Source organism: Homo sapiens, chromosome 9, assembly GCF_000001405.40.
Source record: "Homo sapiens chromosome 9, GRCh38.p14 Primary Assembly".
NCBI lineage: Eukaryota > Metazoa > Chordata > Mammalia > Primates > Hominidae > Homo > Homo sapiens.
In genome coordinates, this window is record NC_000009.12 from 102,866,195 (window position 1) to 102,877,153 (window position 10,959).

Sequence of the window (10,959 nt, forward strand, 5' to 3'; positions counted from 1 at the left end):
TTTCACTTATAAATAGGTCATAACCAGCATGTGTAACAATCACAAAACCTCAGTCTCATTCAATAATAAACACTTATTTTTGCTCATGTGTCTATGGGTCAGTTGGGTTGCTCTGTTGATCTCAGCTGGACTTGGTAAGATTTATGCATAACTGATCAGTTGCAATGAGCTGTGTGGCTTTGCTAATCTTGCTGTGATCTCTTCCATGTCTGATGCCTCACTGAGAAGACTTGGTCCTTCTCCTCACTGTGGTCTTACATCTTGCAAAAGGATGTTCCAGGCTAGTTTACATATAGTACAATCATGAACACATACAAGTACATGTTCATGCAGAAGTACACAAGCCTCTTGAGGCCCAGACTTGAAACTGTCTCATCATTTCCACCATGTAATTAGTCTGTTTTCACACTGCTATAAAGACATACCCCAAATTGGGTAATTTATAAAGAAAAGAGGTTTAATTGACTCGTAGTTCTGCATGGCTGGGGAGGCAGGCCTCAGGAAACTTACAATCATGGCAAAAGGAGAAGAGGCACCTCTTACATGGTGGCAGGCAAGAGATAGTATGTGAAAGCAGAGAAAATGCTATAATTTATAAAACCATCAGATGTTGTGAGAATTCGCTCACTATCAGGAGAACTTCAAGGGGGAATCCGCCCCTATAATCCAATCATTTTTCTCCGGTCACACTTGGGGATTACAATTCAAGATGAGATTTGGGTGGGGACACAAAGTCTAATCATGTCACACCACATTCCCTTGGACAAAGCCAGGCACAGGATGAATTCACTCACAACTGGTGAGCACTACAAAGTTATAGGGAAAAGGGAGAGGATTAAACAAAGGAATAAACTGAGACCACTAGAGTAATTATTCTACCACACTTACTAAATATAACATTTATTCATGTATTCATTTATATTTTCTACATGGGCAATTAATGCCATATTAAAAATATAGTTCTATTTATTACTTTTCTGATCCATATACCTTTTATTTATTTTTTGTGCCTAATTACACTGGCTAGGAACAGGAATAAAATTTTCTCCTTTAGCTTTCTTATCATTCCAACATTATCTATGTTTGCTCTAAAATTTAATTAGATAACTTTTATAGAACATTTTCTTCTATTGGTAGCTAACAATTGAATTTTATCAAATTATTTTATTTCTATTGAAATTGCCATATAATTTTTCTTCTTTCCACTGTTAATATGACAAATTACATTGAAAGTGTTTCACACCCGACTTGATGGCTGAGCAGGAAGGGTTGACTCAGGAGGTATGAGGTGTTCAAATGCTTTCATTTCAACGAAAGTTCTGGCCCTAGACTAGCTTCTGAAATATTCTGCCTGCTAAAATTGTCTTTGCTTATCTGAGGCCTTGAGTCATACCAGATAGTTGTGCTAACAGTGTGATTTATGGTGGGGGCCATGGGCCAAACAATACCAGTTTGATCTGCTGTTGTGAGACTGGACACTGAGTAATTAAAGTCAGTAATGTGGGCACTACATGCCTAAGTGACTGACACTTGATGGAATCCTGAACACTATGGCTCAGGGAACTTCCCTGATTGGCAATAATCCATATATGTTGTCACACTTTGTCACTGGAAGATTAAGCACATTCTGTATGACTTCACCATGAAAGGAAAACTGGAAGCTTATGACTAGTCTCTCCTGGATTCTGCCCTATGCACCTCTTTCCTTTGTTGATTTAAATCTGTGTCTTTTTGCTGAAATAAACCATAAAAGTCAACATAACAGTTTTTTGAGTTATAAAATTATCTCTAAAAAATTATAGTATTCTTGGAGATCTCTGAAACATTCATGATGTATTACCCTTTTTATAGGTTACTGATTCTGAGTTGCTAATCTGTTTAGCAATTTTATATTTAATTCCAATAGAGAGTTTGGCCCTTGATTTTCCTTTTTGTAATGTAGTGTCAAGTTTTGTTTTACTTACATTTGTGTCTTATGAAATTAGTAGTAAAATATTTATTCTTTGCACTATCTGAAAGAATGTGTATAATATTGGTATTATTTTTGCCTTAAATGATTCTTAGAATTTAAAATTTCTAACTTGGGAAGCCATTTTAACATGGATTTTTTTAATAAAGATTTATTGTTATGTATTTTATTTAATAAACTCAAATTTTCTATATTTTATTAGTTTTGATAAATTGTGCTGGTCAAGAAATTTATCTAAATTTTATCTAAATTTTTAAATTTATTAATACAAAGATTTTATATTTCCTCAGGATTTAATGCTTCTAAAATCCTTAATAATATCACTTGTTTATTTCTGACGTTGGTTATCTGTGTCACAGTTTATACTTGATTACTCTTAACTTAGTTTTATCATGTTAGTAAATTTTTTATGGATTCAACTTTTGACTTTGTTTTCTCTATTGTACATTTTTATTTAATTGTTAATTTCTGCTCATTTATGATTTTCTTCCTCTTAATTTCGTTTAGTTTACAATTTATTATTCAACATGTTGATATAAATATTTAAATACTTTATATTTAGGTTTTTTGGTTTTACAACTGAATATTTAAAACTCCAACTTTCTGTTTAAGAATAACTTTGTTTCCTGATGGTGTAGATATTCATATCAGCAATTAATATTATATTTTATTTAAAGTATAACTAAATGGTAGCATTTAGATATGTATTGCTTAATTTGAAAATTCAATGGAAATTTTCTATTTTTATTTTGATTTTGATTTCTTGATGAATTTTACCATAGTCAACGAACCCAATACATATAGTTTTAATCCATTTTTATTGGTAAAGATTTGTTTTATGATTTCAAATATGGTCAAATTTGTAAATTATCCTTATTTTGCAATCAGTTTTGAAAAAAATTTTTTTTGGTGTAAAATTTTGAAAATTACGTACACTTGACTGCATTTCAGGGCAAAGTTGATGATTTGGATTTCAACGATTCAGGTCGCATTCTCACATAAAATTTACAGAGAGGCAATAGTTAGTTCTATGCTCCAATTTACTTATTTTTTCTTTTGTTATTAAATACAGGGTTTCTCTCTCACAATGTTAGTACTTTCAAAGCTCATTTGCTACAATTTTCTCGAAGTTTTTCTACAATGTAATGTCAGATTTTATATTTTAGTAAATGCGCACAAACATCTACACATTTTGTTTTCAAATTTTCCAACTTTAAAACTCCCTCCTTAAAGTTGCTCTCTTCACTGTGACTTTGAAATCCACAAAGGATAGCTCCAATTTTACCCACAGAAGTAGATAGCTATTTAATAAAGCTATATATAACCTCATGGATGCATCTTCAATAATAATCAGTCAGTGACTACTTTTCATTTTTAGTCACATATTCTTTGTTCAAGATTGGTGACAATAAGGCACCATATATTAATTCAACTGGTTCATCAAATATTTTTGAGCATACACTATTAGTTACATTTGTAGGATACTAAATTATGCAAGAAAGATAACATCTGTAGCTTAACAGATTTTATGTTCGGTTGGTGGAAATGGATAATCAAGCCATTTCAATGAAAGAGTATAAATGTGATGCTTTGATAAATATAAAGTAAGTATAACATGTTTGGAAAGATGAGCTGTACAGAGAATGTTCAAATCTATGAGGAGGTTTCAAGCAGAACAAACAGCATGTTATTAGTGCTACAGACAGAAGCAGCACATCAAGTTGGAGAATAAGTTTTGCAGATTTTTTTGAATTTTGGCAGATAGATAAAACTGGAGATAAAATACAGTACATTATATTGCTTGTGCTGTAGATAATATAGGCAGTAAGTAACTCTATTCTTACTGATAACTTACTGTGTGTTTTCAGTGAAAATTGAATTCTTAAATTTACTCCCATTTTCTGTTCATTTTAGAAAGAGTTGATCAAAGAAAAAATGATTTCCTTTGATTTGTACCTGAAACATGTATTTAGGAGAAAATCTTTTCATAACAGATGTACTGTATAAAAATATCAGGATGCACTGAAATCACTCATATCCTTCCTTTTATGACATGATTGCACAGTTAATTATATACATCCTAAACATGTAAAGAAAAGAGAACAGATGGCAAAGCCTTAGTTTAAAAAGAGATAAGTCCGTGAAAATAACTTTATTCATCATATCTTGAATTACTTTGCTCAAATTATTTTGTTCTATGGATCAGAAAATGATACTTCTATTGAAGAAAAAGGAGAATTTAAGAGCATAATCCTGATATCAAAGTCACTGAAGTGTCCCAACAAATGTTACATCACTGCTATTGCTGGTGAAGAATACACAGAAGGAAATATTTCTTAAATGTCCGTAATGAACAAAACTTTGCCGGAAAGAATATAATAAACTTCTGAGTTAAGAAGACAGCTATTTGTAATTTTAGAATACTTTGTAACCCACATATTATATAAATGAAATTATAGACCCAACAAACACTCACTATAATAGGCCATTGAAGAGAGATGGGCTTTGAGGAGAGATCCATTCCTCCCTTAAAATAAATACATATATTTCCTACACAAAAAAATAGCTTATTTTCTAGGCTTTTATAATTCAATGAAAGCATACTTGTAACCATCTATTTGCTCATGTGGAGATCTGGTGGCATTTTATTACCTCTTCCTCACTATCTGGCCATGGATTCAATTTTCCAATCACATTAACTTTTTCTAAAAGCAGTCCCTAACCTGTTTTCTTGAATCCATTCTTACCAACATACAATTTATTCTCTTCATAGTTTCTGGGGGATCTTTTTAAAATGTTAATCAGACTTTGCAAAATCTGTGGTTAAAACTTTTTAATGGTTTGCTATTTCCTTTAGGAAAAACCCAAATCTTACAAATCCTTACATCTTTTAGCATCTGTCTTATTCTACCACTACTTCTGGTATTTTAGGTTCAGTTCATTAGCAACATAGGATATAAAGAGTCAATGCAAAAAATTTAGCATCAAAGTATCAAATTTAAGCATCTAAGCTTAGTCAGGGTAGTTGTAGGGATTCAGTAAAAAGTACATCTTTTACTCTAAATGCACATTTTAATATGAAATCTATAAATTAGGTCTCTTTAATAACAGTAGATGATTTGATTTTTGTTAACAAGAGATATCATAGTTATATATTTTCTGATCTTTTAAATTTATAAGGGACAAGGATTATGTCTGTTTTGCACACCATTCTTGTTAGATGCTCCGGCTTCTGCCTGTCAAAATACTTGGTAGAGTGATTAAATATCAGGAATGAAGGAATCATATGATTAAGCATAGAACGGAGCCCAAGTATTGTTTCAGTTATGTTTTCTTTCAGGACAGGATGTTAGCACAATCCATTGATTGTTTAAGGGCTATATTGATTCCATTTCTTAGACTTAAGACTAGCTGGAATCCGTGGTAGACTCCTTTTCTCCACTACAGTAAATTGAATCTTTCATATTTCCTTCTCTTAAAAAAATTACCACCTCAATTAGCACTTACTTTACGAGCATCCCTGCTATATGTAACACACAGTGGTTGCTAGATTTGTGCTAAGGAGAACCATGGCAGAAAGCTATTGTATGAGTTATCCTGATCTTTCAGGCAGCTCCTAACCCCTGTGCTCCATATTTATAAGAGATGCCAGCCCTGCTGTAAAAGGATGATCAGATATGAAGGCAGGCCATTCCTTCTGTCTTGTATAATGTTGCCTTTATTATGAAATGGAAACTTAAAAACATATTAAAGGAAGGAACACAGTAGTCATGACATTTATTGTTGTGATACATTCTGTACCACATCTTACAGATGACCACCAAACTTTTACACTTCTTAACAGCCCTATTTTATCTTTGATACGTTTTTCTTAGTCCAGGTGGGTAGCTTCATTAGCCTCCCTGCCTGCTGCATGCCTACACACCACAGAGCTGGAAGTGTTTGATTCTCTACTGTTGTAGAGCATATAAAGGCAGAGGAAGGGAAACCTACTGGACCTCTATAGAAATTTACTATGGCTACACTGAGAGAAGCAGCAAAGTCTCTGCAGCCTCCCTCAGGATTGAAAAGGTATCTTAGAGGACAGCTGGCAGCTATTCCTTCCCAATGGAATCAGTTTTTTTCCCCCACTGTGAAGGCAGGAGGCAATCACCACAAAATTTATTCGTGAATTTTGTGAAATACAAAACTACTTGAATCTTAATCATTCTGGGAGATGAAGGAGTATTTCCAGGATCAATCCCAAAATGGGCATCAGTTTCTGGACCCTCAGCCCCATTATGTTAGTTCTCCTTTGATCTGGGTCTCAGATTACACAGGTTTGTTACTGATTAGCTATTTATAATGAGCCTTGTTGCTGCTTGCCTTTTTATCTGAGTCCAAAGCCATTGAAAGAAACTTCATATGTATATATACATATATATATGTGTATATATACATATACACATACACATATATATATACACACACACACACATATATATATATATATTTTTTTTCCCATTTTCCCTTTGGAAAGAAACAGTGTTCTTGGCAGGACTGGCAGGGTCTTGTCCCAAAGGGTCTTCAGCAATCCACTGGCCTAAAATTTAATTTCAGCTTCATGGTGCCTTTATCCAGTCCTTCTATATAACTGAAGTTCTATTTGCAAATATAAATCTGTTTAGGTGTCTAGGTTTTTGAGTTCTTCAGTCTCCTCCACTTCTTTGATAGGGCTGAACTGAGCAGGCTTGAGCACTCAATGTGTGAAATAGTTGGGAAAGACAAGGCCAGCCAGGAGGGGCTTTTTGCAATGGACCTAACAAGATTTGGAATTGACCCTAAAGTGTGATTGGAGAGTGGTTATGCTGATGTAAATATGCTGGATGGTGGATGACAGGCCAGTGAATCACTGGCATTAAAGGATGGGCCCTTATTAGTGGAATATTTATGCCCTGAGAGAAGGTATGGTTAAGTAAAGAGGTGGAAACCAGAGCCATACAGAGGTCTGACAGCAAGAGGATTTCAGGATCTGAGTGTGTTCTGGTGGAAGAGAGGAAAATGTGTTATTGGTGTGAAAAAAAAAAAAAAGCCCCTTGGAAACATGGACTTCCGTAGCAAACTGTGCCCTGCAGGAAGAGAGGTGCCCAGAGGTAAAGGAGAGAGCAAGGAAAGTGACAGAGTGGTCAGGCCAGAGGCAACAAATCCTCAGATGACAAAGAGGAGTCCAGAATTGAGAGTAATAAAAGGGGAAAATGGAAGGAGTCAGGGCCTAATGGATGAGAGGATACATAGCAAAGACGAAACAGCTGGTGGAGGGACAAACATAAGATTAATAAGCAATGAAAAAAGCTGTGTGACAAGGAGTATCAAGCAGAGGATATGGAGGTTTGAGTGGAAAAAGTGAGATGGAAATGTGGGGCTGATGTTAGAGTGGCTTCTGGTGGTAGGCATAAGACCAGAGATGAAGGCAGATGTTATAATGTAAATGTGGAGACCATTGTGCAATAAAGTTAAAATGAGAAAAATGGAAAACATGAGGGAGCAGAAGACAGCCAATATGTGGTGCAGTGAGGGACAATGGACCTGAGAGAAGCAGCAAAGTCTCTGCAGCCTCCCTCAGGATTGAAAAGGTATCTTAGAGGACAGCTAAGGATACCTTTCTTGGCATCACCTGCCAAGAAATTGTCAAACAGTATAGTTTTTTTGAGAAGGCTTCCTCACAGGGCCAAGTAATTGGGTCTCTATGGGAAACAGTGAGCAGACAAAGACAAGTTCTAGAATGGTCTCAGATACAGGGGCTACTAAGTGGTCTCTCATAAAGTCTGGAAATAGGATGAAGACCAGAGTTTGACATGATATGTCATGAAAGTTCTAGATGCAAAGGAAACACAGCAGCATTAACATCTTTCCTGGGGTCCTTCTACAGCTGATGATGATCTATGGCAATTGGAAATGCACATAGCTCACAGCAGGTGTCTCAACAATGTCTGGCATTTCCAAGGTGCTTCTACATGGAATTTCAAAAGACAAAATGTTGCAGCTACAGCAAGAAGTATAAGGAAGCAGGGGAACGGCCTGGTGGGCCTGGTAGGGCTCTGTGCACCTGATGCATAATGTCTAAACATAGTATGTGCATCTCTGACTTTACAATATATATTTTACCCTAATTCTATGGTTTTCTTAAACTTTAGACATTCTTTTCCTGTATTGTCCTCTTTCTCTTATCCACCCTAGACTGCTATGCGACCCTGGAATAGCACAGCCTGTGCTCAAAAGGGTAAAGAAGAAAGAAGGAAGAGAGGTGAATTACCTTTTCTAAGAATAGGCATGCACTTTGTCAGTCATCACAGCTCCTCCCTAGTAAGCTTTCCAAGCTGGGAAACAAGGAAACTGGGTTACGTGTAATAAAGATAGCAGTCAAAATATTTTTGATGGAGCTGCATATAATAGCTTTTTGGGGAGGTGTTTTGGGGTTTTACACCCAGAAAACTCCAAGAATGAGTATGAAGTGTAGATTAGTCAATGGGAATAATGGGAAGACTCACACATGTATAACACTTAATCATTTATCAATAATTTTATGTAAATTGTCTAATTTGTTCCCCACAAATATCACGTGAATTAAGCGGAACAAGTGTTATTTCAAAGAATGAATCTCAGGTTTAGCACAATGTAATAGCCTGAACTATAAACTACTTGCTCACAACAGAGCCCAGAATCCCTGAATCCAAAAACTACCATTATTGCACCCAATCACACACATTCCCCATCTCCAGTTCATTCTTTCATTGCAGAGGATGGGAAGGCCAGGAATGTAAGCAGTGTCCCAGGTTCTAATGACTCTCTCATCATCTTTCCTCCACTGATCAGCAACTCTGTAGTCCTTCAAAGGGTGAATTCTTCCTGAGAATGTTTGCTAAATGGTTGATTTATACCCCAAATCTCTGCTCTTAATTTCAGTTCCCCCATATAGTATCTTCTTTTGGCATACCTCAACTTAGGTCAGAGTTTTTCTATACCATAATTATTGACACTTCGGGGCTGATAATTTTGGGAAGCGGGGCAGGGCTGTTCTTTTGTGGATTGTAGTATTATACCATCATGCCTGGCTTCCAGCTACTAGGGAATAGTAGGGTCTGCCCCTCCTCTACCATGACAGTCAACGGAAAGACCCCAAGACAATGTCAAATATTCTGCATTAGGCATACAAAAGTGGAACTCTCAATTGTAGAACTTGTAGTACTTACACTTTCCATAACTGCACTTTCCATAATTTATTTCCAGTATTTCTCACTGATGATTATTTGAGAATATTAGGGAAAATATGAATCATCTCTGAACTGTGAAGAGAAAGAGAGTTAGGAGTTGGGGCCTTTTTATATCAATACAATAACTGGCATTATTATGATTTGGTTAGCTGATAAAATATATTTCAGCAGTCTGTCAAAATGCATGATTACTTCATTACTATTTAAAATATAATTACACCACAGTCTTGAAAAGAAAACTACTGAATTTTTTTTCTGGTAGAAAAAATTAATTAGCTTTGCTATTAAAATTTTATAGCATTTTTCTAAAATTATTACTAATTAGAAAGAGCCTGGATTTATAGTACTGAGTTACTTCAATATATTTATATGGAATTTAAACTTATTAGACAAATTGAGGAAATTTTTACTTTCTTCCAAAATGTTCTGTTCTAGGGTCTTTGTTGGCTACAACATGACGTCACTTGACTTTCAACTCTGAATTTTAAAGAAATATGGTTATATTATTTAAGTTGCACCATTCATTTTTATTAAATGTGTTGTATTCCTTATGATCTTCTAACACAGGCACTGTAAGAGCACTGTCACCCAGGCTGCAGTGCAGTGGCATGATCTCACCTCACCGCAACCTCCACCTCCCAGATTCAAGTGATTCTCCTGCCTCAGCCTCCCGAGTAGCTGGAATTAAGGTGCATGCCACCACACCCAGCTGATTTTTGTATTTTTAGTAGAGACAAGGTTTCACCATGTTGGCTAGGCTGGTTTCGAACTCCTGATCTCAGGTATTCTGCCCGCCTCAGCATCCCAAACTGCTGGGATTACAAGCATGAGCCACTGTGCCCGACTGAATGGAAACTTTTTTACAACTACATATATGCAAAATGTCACTTTCCTGGCAAGGAGGACATTAGTTGTCCCCATAAGTACGTCACTGATATGAAATAGACTACATAATAAATACACTAGACTCCAACACCCTTATATCTAAACTTTGGAATGATAAAATATAAAAGTTTGCTGCCAGAATACTAGTGCAATTAAAACCTTACTAATTCCCATAGGTGCCACTATTTTGGAAAAAGCCACTTACAGTCAAATTCCAGGAATTTCTTTAAAAGCTTTTCAGTGTCCATGCCATTTCTCTCATTATTCTAAGTTTTTTATATTTTGCACTGTGAAGGAGATATGTTTTTGCACAACACACAATGGTCCCTGCACTCACTGATCCACTGAAGGAACCAAGCTCATATAGAAGTAACTACCATACAGAACAGTAGACATTATGGTTGAAATTTGAATAATGTAGAGTAATAGCAGAAAAATAATGAAATCTATTCCAAAAGCTACAAAGATTATCAGAAAATTCTGGGTGAATGTGACATTTATTTTCTTCAAGACATACAGCTAAGTAAATCCTCTGTGTACAAGAACAAGAACTCTGCCTAGAGTAGTGTGAAGCAAAATACTCTAGGCAGAAGGGGAATATGTGAGAACAGAGAATAATAGTAAAACTTGTTATTCTCTTCCCCTAAACATTTAATAAATGTTTCTAAACCCTCGAAATACATTGTTATTCTGTTTTAAATGTGCCTATAACATAGATGTGAGCCCATCCTATTTCTTGACCTATTCCAATATGTAAATTCCTACCAAGAAAGGAAAAATTGTCCTCATACCACTTATTAGAAAATGTCCTGTTGGCTCTTTCTCACCTTCATTTTTTAGTGTCGTGCTTTTTTG

At 35.4% G+C, this 10,959-nt stretch overlaps 1 annotated feature.

The window, feature by feature from the left end:
- Positions 929-2,128: an enhancer, noted in NCBI's record as "BRD4-independent group 4 enhancer chr9:105629405-105630604 (GRCh37/hg19 assembly coordinates)". NCBI's record gives its function as "activates an origin of replication core promoter dependent on BRD2, P300/CBP, MED14 and CDK7 cofactors, and independent of BRD4, by STARR-seq in HCT116 cells {active_cell/tissue: HCT116}" and the evidence as "EXISTENCE:reporter gene assay evidence [ECO:0000049][PMID:35650434]".